This window comes from Homo sapiens, chromosome 3 (genome assembly GCF_000001405.40).
Source record: "Homo sapiens chromosome 3, GRCh38.p14 Primary Assembly".
In the NCBI taxonomy this organism is placed as follows: domain Eukaryota; kingdom Metazoa; phylum Chordata; class Mammalia; order Primates; family Hominidae; genus Homo; species Homo sapiens.
Genome location: NC_000003.12, coordinates 178169560 through 178190908, shown reverse-complemented (window position 1 = coordinate 178190908; position 21349 = coordinate 178169560). Strand labels below are relative to the sequence as shown.

The 21349-nt window shown below is 33.5% G+C and overlaps 1 long non-coding RNA gene across 1 annotated transcript in view, besides 1 other annotated feature; it reads left to right on the top strand.

Annotated features, from left to right (window-relative positions):
• LOC105374235 (uncharacterized) overlaps positions 1–21349 on the top strand; it is a 221596-nt gene that overhangs the window by 194385 nt on the left and 5862 nt on the right. The window lies entirely within an intron of this gene.
• Positions 8353–8854: an enhancer, noted in NCBI's record as "H3K4me1 hESC enhancer chr3:177899843-177900344 (GRCh37/hg19 assembly coordinates)". NCBI's record gives its function as "activates a minimal SCP1, AML or CMV promoter by ChIP-STARR-seq in naive H9 embryonic stem cells {active_cell/tissue: H9 hESC(naive)}" and the evidence as "EXISTENCE:reporter gene assay evidence [ECO:0000049][PMID:30033119]".

Genomic DNA, 21349 nt, shown 5'->3' with positions numbered 1-21349 from the left:
TTTTGGTAAATTATATTTTTCTAGACCAGTTCATCCACATTTTAGATTCTACTAGCATAAATTTATTATTAATATGCCTTTATTATTTTTATGTCTACAATATCTATAGTGATGTCATATTTACATTTCTGATATTGGTTACTTTTGCCTTTCTTTTCTTCCTTTTCCTTCTTCTCTTCATAATTCTTTTTAGATATTTGTTAATGAGTCCTTTCAAAGAATTAACACTTAGCTTTATTAATTTTTTATACTGTATGCTTGTTTTCTTCCTTATAAATTTCTGCTATTTTATTATTTACTGCCTTCTCTTCACTGCATTTATTGTCATTTTTTCTAACTCCTTGATATATGTGTTAGTAATTTCAGACTACATTCTTCATCAATGTACACAATCTTACTACAGTTTTTTAAAATACTTTGGCTATACACTCCATGTTTTAAAAAAGATTTTTTATTATCATTAAGTTGAAAATATGGCCTAAAGGTATTTTAAAATTCCCAAACATGTGAATTCTAGCAAATCTTTTAACTATTGAGTTCTGGCTTAATTGTATTGCACACCATGTGGTGGGGTGTGCTCTGCATGCCAGCAATTAGAGTCATTTTTTTCTTAGCTCCAAACTTATCTTTGTATATTCTGCTTTGTAATGTTGTATTTCTTCTTTGTTTTCTCTTGGGTTAAGGTTGTATTTCTTCTCTTGTTTTCTGTTAGGTTTCTTTGTTTCTGGTAAGTCCCACCAATAGGAGGCATAGAAGGGAGACTGCTTGAGAATGAGGTCAAGGATTTATTCTTCCTTGTTGGCTGGCTGTTTCTGTCCTTTTCCCTCAACCACACCCAATCACCACAATCCAATAGCTGGTTCCAGTCCCCGGCTTTTTTTTTTTTGTACTCTCAAAGCCACTCTTACCATGACTTTCACGAGGCACCAGTCCGGCAACACTTCTTTAGAAATCTGAGACCTAGCTCCAGGTCTCTCCCTTTCTTCCCCAGACTAGGTGGTATTTTTGCTTTCTTATTTCTCTAACACCCATTTAACCAACAGCTCTCTGTTGGTTACCTAGTATGATTTCTACTTTCCTGACTAGATCTTGCTGGCTACACTCTGTATTATTTCAGACCCCTTTAGAATTTGTCAAGAAATGCTTTATGGCTCAATTATGGTTTATTCTTATAGATGTTTAACAGGTTCTTAAATTACATTTGTTCAATTTAGTTAATTGTGTTATTAAAATATTTTCTATCCTTACTAACATTTTTGGTTCCTTGTGCTGTCCGTTATAGAGATGAGTTTTGTAACTATTTCTTGCTGTTTGTACATTTGATTTTTTTTCTATAATCTTATTCATTCTTGCTTTATATGTACTTAGACTATGTTATTAGGTACATACAAATTAAATATTTTTATAACTTCTAAGTTGAAATGAAACTTTCGTTATTACAAAGTTATTCTCTTTATCTCAGGTAATTTTTTTTTGCCTAACTCTATTTTTCATAATAGATTAAATAATGATGATAGCACATTTAAAATCAGATAGCCTGAATTTGTAAGCAGTAAATTTATGATCGCCTCAAAAAATGTTAAGAGGCCCAAGAGAGGGAATGGAAAAAAGCAAAAGTCAAGGGTGACTTGATAAATGATATAAATTTATGCTGCCTGTTTTAAATACCTCTTATGAAATCATCCTCTGACTATTCCTATGTATCTTAGTTTAGTTCAAAACTACGCTAAATGTAGTTGAGGCTTATTTACTTTTATTACTGTATAATATTTCACTGGTTACAACTTAGTAGTGCAATCTATGATGGCAGTTTCTGACAGTTCTTTTTTTGTGCTACTACTAACAAAACCATAGTTGAATACGTATTTTGGCTTAATGTGCAGGAATATTTTGAGGGCAAGTATGTAGGAGTAGAATTTTAGGGTCTTAGAATATGCACGAAGACATCACTAGACAATACCAAACCATACTGTACCAATTTATACTCCCATCACAAGTATATGATAGCTCTCACTGTTTCATACACTCACCGATATTTTTTCAGTCATTTTCTGTCCATTATTTAAAATCCTAGTGAATACCTTACCATATTTATTTATCTGCTTAATCCCTGAAATCTTCCTTAGGGATTTTAGCATGCATGTTAATATTTTTCTCTATATATTATTATTTCAGAGGTTCTTGGCTTCCTCATATTTAGTGATTTTTCTCTCTGTCACAAGACAGCCATTTATTGGCCACACCCTGAATATTATCACTGCTCCCAATTTCTTCAGCTCAAAGTTCTCAAACACTCAAAAGCTTTGTTCCCCATTGCTGTTGGGATTTGGGGAGATAATAGTTATTATCTGTAATTATATTCTGTGTCTATCCAACTTCAGGATCTTTTGAAAAATACATAAAGGTATCAGACAGATAAAGCTTTATTATTTTTGGTGCTAGTTTGAAGAGTGTAGCTTGGGCTTAGGTATAATGGGATTCCTACTGCTTTTCCTTGTGTATGAAAATCCACTTACAGAAATGAAGGCCTCCCACATTAGAGAAAAGAAGGATGTCTGCTTCCTGTTGACAGACTGAAGTAGATCCCCCTAGAAGGGGCTGAGCCACAGAAGTTTCTTTCCTGATATTGCCTCTAAGTAAGCTGCAAGGCACCTTCAAGAGAGGAAAGCAAATTGTACCTTCTACAATTTTCTCTTCTGTGAAGTGAATTTCCTTTGTTGCTGGGAAACCTGAGGTATAAGCATGCCTTTACAATGATAACTTTTTTACCTTTTAGTTCATCACTCTGTCACCATTGTAGAACCTGCTCTTTATCTTCCTATAATCACAATCCTTTGCCCACTCCATTTTTCCCCCCAAGTTATCACATCTCTTCTCGCTTCATTTGTTCTTCAGGCTGTACCTCATAACTACTCACCTCCACCATCACCTGATACTCCCCAAGAAATTTTGTTCCTTAAATTACTTCCATTCCTGCTTTGCCAATCCCCACCCTAAATCACCCTTAACTTTTGCTTTTCACATTCTCACTCCTGAGTTTCTGAATATTTTTGAGATAGTCATAAGTTTACTGATTATAAATTCAGGCTATTTGATTTTAAAGGTGCTCTCATAATTTTTAACAACATTTAATCCAAATTACTCTCCTACAGATCTATCATATTGTTTAAAAGCTGTTGTCTTCATATTCCGTTTCAATCCACCACTACCACCCAACAGATGGCCTCTCTGTCACATAAATATCTACAGCATTGAAATTACTCTCTTTTGTGATTTTTGCCTTCTATCATAGTTATTTGTAGTCTTGTCTCTTCTATTAGGTTATAAATCCCTTATGTATACAAACTTTGCTGTCTCCATTCTTGTGTTCCCTATGCCTAACATGGAACTTGGCCTATAAATTGATGTTTAATTTTTGAATAACAGATTGAGTTATGGAAGCAGTATCTGAACCACTGAGGTCTACAGATACTGTGTTAGATCAGAATCTAACTACTCCTGATGTATATATGAAGCAGATCCCAAAATAAGTTTCACCACATGTATTTTAGCTACAGTTTTCTATATTTTTACAAGCAGTATATAACCAGCTTAATAAAAATATTAGTTTCTTTGTCCCAATTTCAATCCTCATTCCCTCAACATGTGTAGAGTAGAAAGTCTTGCTTGATGTCTATGGAGCTTACTGATGCTATATTCTGTTTATTGTTTTGTTGTGAAAAATAATTTACTGAACTTTAAATGATTTCCTTTTCTTTGCTGGGGGAATATATGAAGGTATAATTCAGATACCTGGTCACCTACTAGGAAACTTTGAATGATTGATACAATTCACATATAATTAGGAAACCACTTTTTCTTAACAGGAAACAATAACTTTATTAAACCAAGAAAGACCTCAATTTAAGTCAACAAATGATTACAACTGAAATTAGAAAATATAAGTCAAATCAGCTTACTAAGAGTAACTTCTTATCTGTAAACAAATGAAAACATTTGTATCTTGATTGAAGTTTAAAATTGGTACCTAGCTATTACGCAACATTATGTAGACATTTTCTTTTTGTTTTGTTTTGGGTTTTTATTGTTTTTTGTTTGTTTTTTTGTTTGCGTGGTTTCAAGGTACTTTAATTTTTTTTATTTTATTTTAAGTTCCAGGATACATGTCCAGGACGTGCAGGTTTGTTACATAGGTAAATGTGTGCCATGATGGTTTGCTGCACCCATCAACGCATCACCTAGGTATTAAGCCCAGCATGCATTAGCTATTTATTCTGATGTTCTCCTCCCCACCACAACAGAGGCTCCAGTGCGTGTTGTTCCCGTCCCTGTGTCCATATGTTCTCATTGTTCCACTCCCACTTATAAGGGAGAACATGTGGTGTTTGCTTTTCTGTTCCTGTTAGTTTGCTGACGATAATGGCTTCCGGCTCCATCCATGTCCTTGTAAAGGAAATTATCTCATTCCTTTTTATGGCTGCATAGTATTCCATGGTATAAATTTATCACCTTTTCTTTATTCAGTTTATCACTGATGGGCATTTGGGTTGATTCCATGTCTTTGCTATTGTGAATAGTGCTGCAATGAACATATGTGTGCACATATCTTTATAATAAAATGATTTATACTCCTTTGAGTATATACCCAGTAACAGGATTGCTGGGTAAAATGGTATTTCTGGTTCTAGGTCTTTGAGGAATCGCTGTACTGTCTTCCACAGTGGTTGAACTAATTTACATTCCTACCAACAATGTAAAAGTGTTTCTATTTCTCCACAGCCTTGTCAGCATCTGTTGTTTCTTGAGTTTTTAGTAAGCGCCATTCTGACTGGCATGTGATGGTATCTCATCATGGTTTTTAATTGCATTTCTCTAATGATCAGTGATGTTGAGCTTTTTTTTCATGTTTATTGGCCTCATGAATATCTTGATAAGTGTCTGTACATGTCCTTTGTCCACATTTTAATGGTTTTTTTTTCTTGTAAATTTGTTTAAGTTCCTTGTAGATTCTGGATATTAGACCTCTGTCAGATGGATGGATTGCAAAAATTTTCTCTCATTCTGTAGGTTGTTCACACTGATGAGGTTCTTCTGCTGTGCAGAATCTCTTTAGTTTAATTAGATCCCATTTGTCAATTTTTGCTTTTGTTGCAATTGCTTTTGATGTTTTCATCATGAAAATTTTGCCCTTGCCTATACAAGATACAGATTACTATTACTATTCAGGAATAGTATTCCCTAGATTTTCTTCTAGGGTTTTTATAGTTTTGGTGCTGGGAAAACTGGCTAGCCATATGCAGAAAATTGAAACTGGACCCCTTCCTTATACCTTATACAAAAATTAACTCAAGATGGATTAAAGACTTAAATGTAGACATTTTCTATGATCATTGCCTCCTCAATCATTCTTGCTTCCATTATTTTGTATAAAGTGAGTTGTGTTGCCAATCATTTCTGAATGTTAATCTTACCTCTGCTATAAACTGGTTTTATTGTTTAATGTTATATATTTTACCTTCTCTGTTCTTTTGACTCCTTAAAAAAGGCATAAACAATTAAAAAATTTATTACCATATCCTCACTGAAAATGATACAGAGAAAGGTAGAAGACTGAAAATTATATTGTGCTATTTTGTTTCTTGGCAATAGGGGCTACATAGATGCAAGATAGTATATTTGCAATTGGAAGAAATAGAAATCTGTGTTTCCAAGACTTTATCTAGAGTTTTAGATAAATTACAAATCTCCTCACACCCTTTCTAAAGGGTTAGTGCTTTTTTCACAGCAACATTTGACAAATTGGGATCAACAAGATGGACCTGCAGCTACTATTCAGAGGGCTATTTACTCTGGGATGTTAAATCTGACAAGTGATGGAGAGCACTACAGAGGCTCAGCTGCTCAGTGCAAAGAGCATTACCATTCCAAAGGAGAAGTTGTTCTCACTGTACATAAATATTAGTCTTGTATTATGTTCATATAAAATACAGTCTTAATTTCAAATCTACCTCCTATTAGTATCCCGTAAACATTAAAAGAACTGTGGGTGATTCGTCCTTTGAGAAGCTTCCTTAAATACAATACTTAGCCAATTCAGCATTAAAAAAGATATTTATTGCCAAATATCAAATTCAACTCAAATGTCATAAAAAAAAGGATTTCATAGGAAACTCACTAAATAGGTCATTTTAGTTGCAAATTCTTACTTTTATACTAGCGAGAAAGTGTACATTCTCTGTAGTTTATTTTCTTCTCTTCTCTGTGCCTTCTTTATCTCTTATTCACCAAAAATAAGTTGTAGATTTTCTGTCTTGGGAAACTCAGCCATTATACACCAAAAAATTCAACTCAAGCAGGCTACGTTTCAGCTAGTTTCTGTCTCTGTTCCAGAGGAAGAGAATACAAAATGTAGGGAAGGAAATCTAACGTTTCTGCCATTTTCCTATAGGTTTCATGCAAAAATTAGCCATGTGACATTAGAAAACATTTTATCACTGTAAACCTCTGTTTTCCTGTCTATAGAGTTAAGCTAAAATACCTACCTTGCAGTGTGATTGTGATGATTAATTAGGTACTATAGGTAAAGGTTTTAGCAGAGTCTAAGTGTTCAAAATAATTGAAAATATGCTGTTATTGCTGGAATAGCATGCTGTGACTCAAATGGCTGGGAAGCAAGAAGGCAGGAGTGAATAATGAATGTTCAGGATTAGGAGGGAAGAGGGATAAGGCTGTTATGACGGCTCTGAGGGTAGGGGTGTGAAAGAGGAGAAAGGGCACATAATTTTCAGGACTCAGTGAAAAGCGAAAATATGCACTCCTTCTTCAAAAGGTGGGGAAAAAGTACCATTAAAGTTATGAAGATACTTTATATAAAAAACTTTGGGCTGGGTGTGGTGGCTTACGCCTCTAATCCCAGCACTTTGGGAGGCCAAGGCGGGTGGATCTCTTGAAGTTGGGAGTTTGAGACCAGCCTGGACAACACGGTGAAACCCCATCTCTACTAAAAATACAAAATAGCCAGGCATGGTGGCGCATACCTGTAATCCCAGCTACTAGGGAGGCTGAGGCAGGAGAATCACTTGAATCCAGGAGGCGGAGGTTGCAGTGAGCTGAGATTGAGCCACTGCACTCTAGCCTGGGCAACAGAGTGAGACTATATCTCAAAAAAAAAAAAAAAAGAAAGAAAGAAAGAAAGAAAAAGAAAAAGAAAACTTTGTAAAGTATTTCTTTTAAAAATATTTTATTGTTTATGTAACATCAGGGGGTAATAGTGATGCATGCATAACAACATAAACATACAATAAAAAAGTATTTTCGTTTCATAATTTTATATAATACAATAAATCATAAGATTTAAACTATCGTAACTTCATTTATTATAAGGATTTTCTGGCCTGCTTTTCTGCAAATTCTTTTAATAAGCTACCAAAATATTACCAACTTCCTTTTCAAATAATGTAATTGAAAACTACATCAATGCTCTTGGCAAATGCATAATCACAAAACAAATTGGTAATTTTTAATTTTGAGAGAATTACTTTGGCTGATGCAGCCATTATTGGTGCTGTTAAGACTATATAGGTTGTGACAACTTTGGGATAAATCTTTGATAAATTATCTTGAAATGTGAATTTTACCAGATAAAGAGCTAATGATTCTTTTGGGACAATTGTTCTAAAAAGAACTCTTCATACGATCACTTTGTGTAAATCTGAATTTAATTTGATATGTAAATCTATATAATGGCATTGTAACATTTTCTCTGACATTTCTTGTAACTCAGTATATAAGAAACCAAAAGCAGCTTTACTATTTCCAGGTAATTTAAAACATCTATCTATTATTCTATTGTAGCATTCAAAAAAAAAAAAAAAGGAAAGTATTCTTTTCTTTCAAATGTAACAGTCTTCACACTGAATCTTTCTTCCTAAGACTGTGCATATTTCCTTTGCAGTGTTGCTGCTGTTTTGAAAACCAGAGATTCTAAACTCTTTGATGAATTCTAATAACTCCCTGAGTTATTTACTTCCTGAGTAATTGAGATATGCAACACCAATGCATATGCTTTTATTTTGTAACAAAGTTTATTGTTTAAACATTAGCAGTTCTTCTGACTGCATTTAGACTGGAAAGTTAATATTTTTACAGATGCTACAGGGACAGACTCCAGGGCCAACCTCCCACTGTAAGTCCCAGTGCTGTCCCGAAGCAGAATCCCTTCTCTTTCCCAAGGCCGTGGCTGCTGTAACACTTCTACTGCTGCTGCCGTTTTTGCTTCTGTGGCCACTGCCAGTGCCATCAATCTGGCCTCCCCAGTTTCCCCAGACTGCCCCAGATATGTGCATATGTGCTGGGCAACATGCCAGTTGCTTGGTGCCTGACACTGCCTGCTGTGCCCCCAGGTCTGAGCCCGCATGTGTTCACACTGCTGCCTGCTCATGTTGATGCTCCACTGCCCTATCAGACTTCACTTATGAAACACAAGTTCAAAGATACAATGATTAAAATTTCAGTACGCTGGTAGCAGAGTGTTAAACCAAATGTGGGGCCCTGTGGGACTGCACTAGGTCATAGCCCATGAAGCTGGTATTGTCCAAAGGGAGATGGAAACCTACATCCATAACAAAGGGATGCAAGTCTGCAAAAGAGACACACACTAAATACAGAATGCAGATTTTGAAAATTGTATGAAGGAAAGAAAAGGGTACAATGAAAGAAGGCATTTCTGGGTTGCCGTCCTATCTATCAGTTAAATTTGGCAATGATCTCATTTTCCTGAACCAGGTATGTATTCACGGGGCCAGGCTTCTGCAACCTAGTTGAGTTGCAGCCCCCTTCCCCAGGCAGCACTAATCTTCATACAGAAAGGCAACTTGTACTTCTCCCATTTAGGCATTGGCAGCATCAGGGTTACTAGAACATCTGCCAGATTTTAAGCAGTCTCAGCAAGCGGATCCAAGCTCTGGAGAGGAGGCATAAAGGTAAGAGAAGCTGTTAGAACTCCATCCAGTTAGGTGCACGTCAGGACAAGCTTTGAGCCTTGGAGGAACAGAAATACAAATCAGGCATTTGAACAGAAGCACAGACAAGAGAGCTGGGGACATACTGTGGAGATCTTTAACTCTTGAAAATTTTTCTAAGTCAGATTATTGAGGCCTTTGTCACAATACCTCAAAGTATTTCTCATAGATCTATTTTTATTGTATAAGCAGTGATTTTAAAAAATTATCTACCTAAACTAAGAAAATTTTATTATTTTATTTGAAAATGCATTTGTGAAGGTTGGGACTTACACGTATTCAAAAACATTGACATACTTCTATGGCATCATTCCAAGAAGACTGTTTGGTCCTACACAATTTCTTGGCTTCTCATTCTCTTTATATAACTCAAGCTTTATGAAAATCTCTTCAGTCATCTTTGTGAACCCTCAAAACTTTTAAATAGGGTCACTATAGTATAATATATGTATGCAAATTATATACGAATGGTGATCCTAGATTATTTTCTCCAAGTATATGAAACACAAATATCTTTTTAGGTTACTAAAGGAAACTATTTTAGCAGAGGTTAAAAAAAATTGATATACTTTTGAATTATTGACATGTTTTACCAACTCAGCACATTTTATGAAAATATGTTACTCAAAAATGCCTTTAGATGTTATTGAATTCAAACCTTAATTTAAAATGGCAGTTTCTGGTAGGTTGGAAAAAAGTGGTTTAAATGGAACTGTGCAGTAATTTCATTGCTGTGTATATAAATGATCCATCAATGCTTACTTGAAAAAAATGTTCCCTTTGAAATGTCACATGCAAAAAGAATTGCTATAATGCTATTATTAGCATTTAAAATATACCGCTCTTCAAAACATTACATCTGAAAAAGAGTCTGAGTCAGGTTTTCTGTAGAAAGCATAACCAAATCATTCCATATTTAAATTGCTGTTTGAACGTAATAAAAAGTGGATTTGCACCCTGGTGTCATATATTGAGAGATGCTGTCAGCAATTCCTATTGGTTTGGGGGAGTGAGAAAAACATACGCATAATGGATACTCTTCCTTGCCTACTCAATATTCACTCCTGGTTTCTCAACAAAAGAACCCCAGTTTTGTTTAGAATGCATTGAGCTCAACAAAGTAACACCTTTCTTCACCGCCTTACAGTTAAGGAGTGGGGCAGGAGACACAAGCAGAAGATGGTGAATCTCTAAGAAAATGTTTGCTTTCCTAATTTATGGCTTCTGCTATACTTCTTCATTCTTTATCTTTCCTCCTGCCAAGAGCATGAATGTGAGACTGGATACTGAGGATTCAAGCATGAGGATAAAGAATGCTAAGGATGGTACAGTAGAAAGCTAGAAAGAAAATAGGACAATTATAATTTCAGGTGAAGCTTCTGACACAGCCCTTGATAGTCTAGCTTGGTCTGGACTTCTTGTTATGTGAGAAAAATAATAACCTATTTACTTCAGGCACTGTGGGTAGGTTTCTTTAACATGAAGTTAAAAATCATCCTATCTGATTTAGATTTTGCATACAGCTGAACTTATTCCTAACATATATGTTGGGAAAACAAACTCTATAAACACTTAATATTTAGTAAATTTTTTTACCAATTCAAGCTGTATTAAAACTGTATGTTTCAATATATATTAATATAAATGTAAATCTGAAGTTCTAAGCTAGTCTGGCTAGTCTGCCCTACCTTGATGCAAATGGAAACATTTACCAAGAAGAGTATGGACTTCAACTTCCAATTCTTAAAATAAACCAAAATTTTCAATGTGTATGTTAATTAGAGCTCCAATTCATAATGGACTAGTTCCATGAATAGGCAGAATAAACAGTTCTATTTTAACACGAAGTCACATGGGAACATTCCCTGATTCTTCCACTTTTAATAAGCATTTTTTTGTTAATGTATGAGGGGTGTTGTGTGTGAGTCTACAAATCAACTGTACACAGCTTGATGCATTTTTTTCAGGGTAAATCTACCTATATAACCTTCACCCTGATCAAGAATGACAAAACTAACAGTAAAGCAAGTTCCCTTGTGTCCTCCCTACTGTCATGAAAAGACACCTGGTATCTTGACTTCCAACTCTATCGTTTACCTGTTTTTCAACCTTGTATAAATATAATTATTATAACAGTGTATACTATTTGTGTCTGGCTTCTTCTGTCCAACTGTTTTTTAATTCATCTATTATAATTGCATAGAGCAGTAGCTTATGTATTTTCACTGGTGTATATTATTCCATTGTTTGAATATATCACAAAAATAAAATTTTTCTATTCTACTATTGATTTACATGTGGGTTGCTTACTACATGAGGCAGTTACGATCAGTGCTTCTATGCACAGTTTTGTTCATGTGTTTTAGGAGAAATGTACAAATTTCTTGTGGCTGTATACCTAGTAATGGAATTACAAAGTGATAAATTATGTATGTGTTCAGCTTTCACAGATACAGCCAAACAGTTTTCCAAAGTGGCTTAACCAATTTACAATCTTCACTGCACTGGATAAGAGTTCCAATTATGCCACATCCATTTTCATTAACACACTTTTCCTTTAAAAAATTTATGGTTTTGGCTAGGGTTTGTGGTGGTATTTTCTTTAGCTTTAATTGACATGCCCCTGATGATAAATGGTATTGAGTACTTTTCATAGGTCTACTGACCAATTGGATATCTTTATTCATAAAGTGGATGTCCAGAACTTCTGCTGTTACTTCTATTTGGCCATTGTTTTCTTATTAGTTTTTATGGATCTTATGTATTTTGAGTATGAGTGTTTTGTTATATGAACAAATTGCAAATATCTTCTCCACTCTGTGGTTGCCTATTTATTCTCTAAATTTTTATTTTAATAAATAGATTTTAATTTTAATATATTCAATTTATAAACATTTTCTCTTTTTTTTCAGCTTTTATTTTAGGTTCGGGGGTACACGTGCAGGTTTGTTACATGGGTAAATTGTGAGTAGCGGAGGTTTGGTATACAAATGATCCTGTCACTCAGGTTGTGAGCACACTACCTAATAGGTAGTTTTTCAATCCTTGCTCTCCTCCCACCCTTCTCCATCTAATAGTCCTCAATATCTATTGTTCCCATATTTATGTCCATGTATACTCAATGTTTAGCTCCCACTTACAAGTGAGATCATGCAGTATTTATTTTTCTGTTATGTGTTAATTTGCTTAGGTTAATGGTGTCCAGCTGCATCCATGTTGCTGCCAAGAACATGATCTTATTCTTTATTATTGCTATGTAGTATTCCATGGTATATATGTACCACATTTTCTTTATCTAGTCTACCATTGATGGGCATCTAGGTTGATTCCATGTCGTTGCTATTGTGAATAGTGCTGTGATGTACATAGGAGTGCATGTGTCTTTTTGGTAGAAAAATTTATATCATCTTCTTTCATGGTTAGTGCTTTGATGTCCTATTTAATAAATCTCTGTCTACCCCAGGGACATTCTTTTATGATATCCATCATTCTTCTATGATAGCTATTATGTTTGTATGTATCAGCTGGGCACTTTATTTTTCACCTTTATTATTTAGATCACCAAGCCTTCTAATATTTATTTTGGGATTTAGTGTGAGGCACAGATAATTTTTATATGGATATTCCATTGATCCAGGGTTATTTATTGATAAAAATACACAAAGTTATAATCTGCATTGTTAACGAGGTCACCACTGTCATAAATCATGTATTCACATCTGTGTGGGTAATTTTTTGGACTCTATTCTTTGTTATTGTTCTTCATTACTTATGCCAGGTTATTGTTTACTACTGTGACTTTATATGTCTTGAAACCTGGCAATGTACATTCTACATTATTCTTTCATATTTTACTGACTGTTCTAAACCTTTTATGTCTTCAAATAAATTTTAGAATTTATTCAAAATTTGAATTTGAAGCTTGATGAATTTCACTAATCAAGCCTGATTAAGGTTTTGATTTGAAGCTGAATTTGAAGTTGATTCCATCAAATTTTGACGGAATTTGAGAAGTTGTTGTTCAGATTCTATTCAGATTTTCATTCAGATTATATCGCATCAATTGATCAGTTTATGGAGATTTGGAACATAGCAGACGTTCTAATTCTATTTATTTAGGCTTTCTTTAATGTCTCTTAGGAATGTTTTAAGTATATTATTAGGGTAAGGGTTGTTCAAATATTTTGTTAAGGTTGTTCTTAGGTATTTAATTATTTGATACTATTATACATTTTTTTCAAATTTCATTTTTTTGTTCCTGGTATTCAAAAATACAATTTATTTCTGTATATTGATTTTATATACAACAAAATTTACTTAATTTTAATTTTAATTGTTTATAGCTCTATAGATGCTTTTGTGTTTTCCTTGCACAAAATCATATCGTCTGTGAATGTCATTTGTGAATCAGTTTCATTTCTTCCTATCCAAGACTTATAATTTTTGTTTCTTCTTCTTGTCTAATTGAACTAGTTACAAATTCTAGTGCAATGTGGAATGTAAGTGGAGACAGTGGACATCTTCACTCCTCTGATCTTTCTCTGGATAGAACATTCAGTATTTCATGGTTAAATATGATATTTAACCTTTTTTTGTATATATACTTAACTATGTTAGGGACATTTATTTATATTCTTTCTTTCCTAAGAATTTTATCTTAAATGGGTATTGATTATGTCAAATGATTTTTTGTAAGTATTCAGATGATCACATGATTACCCTCCATTATTTAGTTGATGTTGGGGAATTATAGTAATGATACATGCATTCTTTCATTGCTCCACCAAATTTTTATTTCTACAATAAATCTCAGTGATTGTGATTTCATATATATAAATATATATATGTGAACAGTGTACATATATGTGTATAGATATATAAAACAGTTATAGATATATAAAAAACTGGGGATGATGTATGTATGTATAGATCCCATATATATTATATATTAAGTTTGATATTTGTATAGGCACACACATACATACTACAGACACATTTATATAGGTATGTATGTGCATATCATATATATGTAATATATCACATATGTAATATATCATGTATTATGGATATATTATGTGTATGCATCATAGATATGTATTTATTATGTATAATGGATTACACATATATATATTGAATGTAATTATTTGATTAGCAAAATGTAAAATTATTTTTGCACTTCTTTAGGAGAGAGATGTGTGTGCTATAAATTTTCTAAATTTTATAATTCTCTATATTTATAATAATCTTTATTGTATTTTTACTATCTATAGAACCTATAGGGATAATTCTTTTTTCATGTTGATATTGGTAAATTTGTGCTCTTTTTTAAATCAGTGTTGATAAGAGTTTATCACTTTTATTAGATTTGTCTTTAAAAACTGACTTTAGACTTTACTGAATTCCTCCAAAATTCCATTATATTCCCTAACATGAACTTCATCTTTTGTCTTTCTTATTTTTTCCTTCAATTTTTGGGGGATTTAACTACTTTTTTTTTTTTTTAACTTCTGAAGAATGTAGAATATCAAAACCAACTATATATAAAGCAAGTCAACAAATTTTAAGAAAAAGTCTAATAATCAGTGATCTAAGTATCCATGTGAAAAAGTTAAAAAAAAGCAAAGCAAATTTTACTGTCTTATTTTTATTATAATTCAGCTGAAAATATTTTGAACGTTTATGATTTTTTTCTCTTTTCATGAGATTTTTATAAATGAACTACTTAAATTTCCAACACTTCGTGACTTTCTTTTCTTTTTTTCATTTCGAGATTATGGGTTTGTCTCTTTCAACTTTATTTCTGGCAATTACTATCATATTTTGAAGCAATGCTATTAGATATATACATATTTAGAAATTTAGTATCTTCTTCAATGGTGTTTAAAATTATGAGTCTCCCTCTTTATCTCTAGTAATACTTCTTGTTTACAGTGTGCTCCATATATCCGTACAAGCTTTTTGTTGCTTAGTTTTTGCAAGGTATAACTTTTCCCACTCTTTTCCAACTTTTTATATCCTTATATTTAAGTTGATTCTCTTATATGCAGAATTCAGAATTTGAAAAATCTAAACTGATAATTTGTATTGTTAAGTGAAATAGTTCAATTATATTTATTTATCTATATTTTTAATTATCATATTTTATTTTTATACTTATTTTTAATAAAATGGTTAGGAATGCACAGGATAATAATTAATTTCAACTGAAGTTGGAGAATTCTCTTCAAAGATGGAGGACTACCAGTTTAAACTACCTTTTCAATAGTCAATAAGGCTAACTATTTGGCTGGAGATCAACTGAAGCTGCTTGGCATTGTGGGAAAAGTCTGGACTTTAAATTCAGACTTGAGTTCCAAGCTTGCGTCTGACAGTTTTTAGTCATTAAACGTTAAGCAAGTTACTAGTTTCTTGATCCGTTAGTTTGGTGCAAACAAGAATGCGGTTTTTGCCGTTACTTTCAATGGCAAAAACTGCAATTACGTTTGCATCGACCTAATATAATTTCCTCATCTATCAAATGATGAAAATATACAATAACTCAACTACAGAGATGATGTATAATTAAATACAGTTTATGCAAAACAACTAACAGGTTCTGCCAATATAACAGAGCCTGAACAAGGGTAACTGTCTTTGGAATTACAAGTAAAATCCCCTTGGAGTTATTTCTCATTCTCGCAATTAACATAGTTTGTGATGAGAAATTAGTTTTAACAAATAATGTTCTTTGTGTTTCATGAAAGTCATTTTATGTTGTCTACATAGCAGTCTGGTGACTAGACAAAGTAGAGTGTTTTGTTATTTTACAGAAGAAGAAACTTTGATCCAGAAACAACGTTGAGTGAAGGTTAGTCATTACAATTGTCAGGATAATTGTGAGTAGAATTCCTTGAAATCATTGTTCTTTGCCAAAGGACAGAGGGAGCTAGTAGATTAGAACACACTATCTCTGATATTATAACCTTTGCTTAGGGAACTACCTACAATTCAAACTTTATTTTTACTTTCAAGTTCCTTCTATAACTCCTAATATCCAAGAATTGTCTTTGTTTGTTTTGATTATTTCCTGTAACTGACTAATTACCCTCACCATTTGCTATTGCCTACTGGATATAAACACATAAGCCCATGGTTAGGATAAATCATTAAAAGTCACAGAAACTGCCTTTCTTTGGTCTGGGTTTATATTCACTTGTAGATAAAACGAGGAGGCTTAAGTACATTTTCAAGGTCCTTTCTAGATCTGCAAATTCATGATGATATGGAACCAATGCCTCTAATGCTAACAATAAATTCATGGAAGTGTTCTGTCATAAATTCCTTTTTAGTGCTATTGGATTTATTGTTAGGTAACTCATATTCAGCATGAATAAGGACACCCTGCCTTGAGACCTCTGTAAATAACTCATCCAACCACTGCAGGGTTCATCCAACTTTACAGGATGTTTTCTGCAGGAATGTTCAATAAATAGTTACTGATATATCCTTGAGTACATGAATGTTTTTGAAACCCCGATGCTTCTTTCTATTTCACAGTGGGAACAATCAGGATGGACTCTTGAAATTGCTTTTACAGTTTTATGACTTGTTTGGAACTCTTCATTCCACTCTCAAAGAAAAATGGGCATATTCAAGTTCACCTAAGATGAACTCCTGTAAAGCTTTCCACTCAAATGATTGAGTGATGTTAAGCAGTATCATGCACAAGAAATGGACTTTGGCAAGATATTTGTATTGATTGCCCTTGGAGTGTAGAAAAGGGTTAAGGCAATGAGAGAATAAAGAAGAGTTGGATTACTTGGTCACTGATAATTGCTCCAGCCCACAGAGCAAGGCTGATGCAGCAAATACAACAGACAGTATTAACCAGTTGTGAAACCAAGATAGGGATAATTTATATATTTTATTTAGTTTTGCACAGGACAGTAAAAGACTAATGTGCAGTAAAGCTGATCTGAATAATGGTACATATTAGATATTTTTTTAAAAGGTATTACTTTATTTCTTTAGGCTTAAACAGTAACTGAAATAATAAGAAGACATAATAATTTACAATTATACAAATGTTTCTAAAAACTAGTATGTCACAACAAGAGAGGATTTTGATAATTTTAGCTTAAATAAGAGCTAATGTCAGAGTACACTTCTGATAGAAAGATGTAAAGAATCAAAGATCCAAACAGTAATTGATGATCCCCTAAGATTAGTATAAAGATGCTGCAGTGGACATTACTAACAAGGAATTCTAGTTCTGAATAGGTTGCTAACTATGTGAACTTAGGAAATTCTTATAACTTCTGTGCATCTCAGTTCTTCTAAAAAGAGTAATAGAAATTGGACTAGACCAATGGATTTCAAACTGTAGTCCATAAATTCCTTGGAGATCCTGGAGCTATCATAAAGTGACTGTGAATTTACCAAAATACTGAGCATTGCACATTGTACTGAGCATTGTAAAGAAATAGAATATTTAAATGCCTATGAACTACAATGTATCAAACGCACCTACTTACTATTGTAATGAATAAAATATGTAACAATTCCTTATTAGCTAGATGACAGTGAAAAAAGTTAATCATTCTGTGTTTCAGTTTCCTCATCTGTAAAATGAAGATGTAATTAACAATACCTTCTTCATCACAGTGTTATGACTATTAAATAGTATAATTAAGGAAAGCTTTTGGAAGAGCACTTTGGACACAAACAACATTGAAAAAGATTAGACATTACAATTTTCATGATTACTATTATTAGAATTCTTTTTTTTTTAAAGACAGAGTCTCCCTCTGTCACCCAGTCTGGAGTGCGGTGGCATGATATCGGCTCACTGCTACCTCCGCCTCCCAGGTTCAAGCAATTCTCCTGCCTCAGCCTCCTCAGTAGCTGGGACTACAGGCACCCACCACCAGCCCCGGCTAATTTTTGTATTTTTAGTAGAGATGGGCTTTCACCATATTGGCCAGGCTGGTCTCAAACTCCTGACCTTGTGATCCGCCCACCTCAGCCTCCCAGTGCTGGGACTACAGGCGTGAGCCACCACACCCGGCCTAGAATTCTTAAAAGCACTGATGAATAATAGCATCTTACCACTATGCACTTTTTCAGTGAATGAATATTATAATGATTATGAGTGCCCATAAGGCATATTTGAACATAGAAAGATCATTGTTCTGGTTATTTACTGCTGAAAAACAAACTACTCCAAAATTTATCAGCTTAAAACAATTCTCTTATATTGCTCATGATTTTGTTGGATTGAGTATTCAGGAAGACCTCAGCTGGGTGGTATATCTGATCCATGGACCATCCACTGGAACAGCTAGGGCTGGAAGCTCAGCATCCAATTCATGGAAGGGGCTACACAAGGATGTGAATTCCAGGAGGCATGGTTTGTTGAAGCGGGAACATTTGTGGAAACTAGCTCTCACAGTCATTATTTGCGTGGAAGTTGAGGATGACTAGTGAGTTAATTCCTTATACCCCTTTCAGCTCTTGGATTCCATATATCTAATTGGTACTTGCTTAATGAGGAGGAGAATGCTTTTGTTAATACCACTGCCTCTACCACCAGGCATTTTCAATGCTATTTCTGTTGGCACATTTTTATTTCATTCCCAGGAGAGGAAAGCAGCATGCTCTGCCCACTGCAGACACATTTGCCATTTACAAGCCTGTAAGTGTTATTTCACCACTTATTTCTCTCTGTGTATTAGAGTGTGAGTTCTTTCCCTATTTAAAATCAAATACTGTCCTGGATTGCTCCTCCAATATGTCAAATTTTAAAGATGAAAGTCAACTAAGATTTTTGCTATTTGAGTATGTGGCAATAGACATCAGAAACAGATTATGTAGGGAGATGAATGTAATTTTTTTCTTTTTTTTTTTTTTTTTACAAAAAGCTTGAAGGGCTATACTGAAGTGCTCATTATCTAAACATATTGTTAGAGATCAAGTGGTTTCTGTCACAGGGCTTAAACTTCTTTAAATTGCAACCTAATCTGCATAGAAAAAGAAGGTGACTTTTTGTATGACATTGGACTTCAGACCTTGGTCTTTCTGTTTAAGTATACACAAAATTTAAGATTAATCACTTTTTTGCATGGCTTTTCAAATGTGAGAACTCAACTCCCAACTTTCAGACTAAGGAATTTTCAAATTTTGCTCCAGGTATAATAAGTTCTTCTAGCATCCTCCAGGTTCTCAGTTGACTGTTCCAGGTTCTTGATTGTAATATGACAGTGTTTCTCCTTTCGCTTAATGCTTGAGTTGTGTGCTTATGCAGTTTCATATATTTCAGGCATCATCTATTTGTGTTCTTGACCATTGATAATTATCTTATTAATTCTGGTTAGATGTCTTATTTTGGCTAGGGCTGGTGGACAGCCTGTCATATGGCCTCACGGAATATATTCACCACAGCTTCATAACCGTGAATATTCATCATAGCACACATATTTGTGACATTTGAAACTTTTAAGTAAGACACAGATGTTTGAGCAGATTTCTTGATTTATACTCAGCTCACAATTATTGAGTTTAAACATAGTAAATGGTTAACCTCATAGAGTGTCCCCTCCCTGCCCCTGGGAATTCTGAGTAATTCTAGCCAATGCATTTTTTTGAAATTTAATTCAATTCCCATGATAAGTTTAATATCTTGCCTGTGCTGCCACTGAAGATAAAAACTCTTGTCATGCATATATGCATCATATATACCATTTTGGCCTATTTATATTATTTTAGATTTAATTTTTACTACCTTACTGTGATTATGAAGGACAATTAAAGCACCAAATGCGCCCTGTTGGCCCACTTACTTGGTATAATGAAACAAGTATTTATATTTCCCTCCGAAGTGTTTGGATCTACTTTAGAACCACCAGAAATCTTGCTAATTCATGTAGTAGAAAGAGAGGTTGAATGAGTCATGTCAAGTGATCCATGAGATTAATATAGACAAATATGTCATATCCTCATGCATGCAGCTGTGAATGACATATCTACTTTGCCATCTGTAAACTTAATGGACAAAATGTCCCAGTGACTTCTTTAGAGTTCAGAGTAATTCAGTTATCAGCAGGCACATTTCCTGTTGCCTAATACCCAAATCTAATTCCATGGGGAAGCTTTAGTCTGGCTCTTGGAGTAGGTAGAAAAATCTGCTAACCACATTATGCTCTTTCATAACCACATTGAATTGTACTGTTAGCTAACACTGAGTAAATGCAAATGTCGTATACTTTGAGACAATATATGCTTTATATGAATCGATGTTCATTCTTGCTACATTTATATTTTAACTCAGTAGTGAAATTTAACAATGCACAGTAATATAAAAACTATCATTTATTTCTGTGCTTAATAAGATCTGAAATAAACCTTTCTGTAAAGTAACTATATAGCATCTTTAATTTACATTTTATTTATGTTATGTAACATTTGCTATTTTTATAATGAATGTCATATTATTTGCTCCACATTGAAAAATATGTAGCATTTCTTCCAGGAATATCTATTACCTTTCTTACTATCTGTCAAATCAAAATCTTAATTTTTCTGTTGCTTCTTATGTAATTATTTCAATTTACAGAATAAAATTTCTAATTTTTAATACACTTAATTTATATAAGAATTTCAGCTTTACAGAAAAATTGAGAAGATAATACAACAAATAATTTACCTAAACACACACACACAGATACACACTGTACATACACTTTTCTCCTATTATTAATATCTTACATTAGTGTGGGTCATTTGTTATAATTAGTGAACCAATACTGGTATATTATTGTGAATTAAAGTTCATATTTCACATTAAGTCTCCTCTTTGTGTTGTACAATTCTCTGGGTTTTGACTAATGTATAATCTAATTTATCAATAATTGCAGTTATCACCCTGGACTTGTAAGAGCTATTGATCTTGTTATTATCTCTGCAGTTTTAATTTTTCCAGATATTTATATGGTAGTAATCATACAGTGTATAGACTTTCAACAGTTCCTTCTCTTATTTAGCAATAAATATTTAAGGTTTTTCTATTTTTTTTGAGCTTTATACCTCAAAGCTTTTTATTGTTGGATAATATTACATCATATGATGTACCATAATTTGTTTATATTCATTCACATATTAAAATCAACTTGGTTTCTACGAAGTTTTGGCAATTATGAGTAAAGCTGTCATAAACATTCATGTACATATGTTTTCTATTAATTTTGGTATATACCAAGAATATGACTGCAGCCTCATATGATAAGCACATTTAGCTTTGTAAGAAGCTGCCAAACCATCTTCCAAAGTGCCTATGGGATTTTGCGATCCTATCA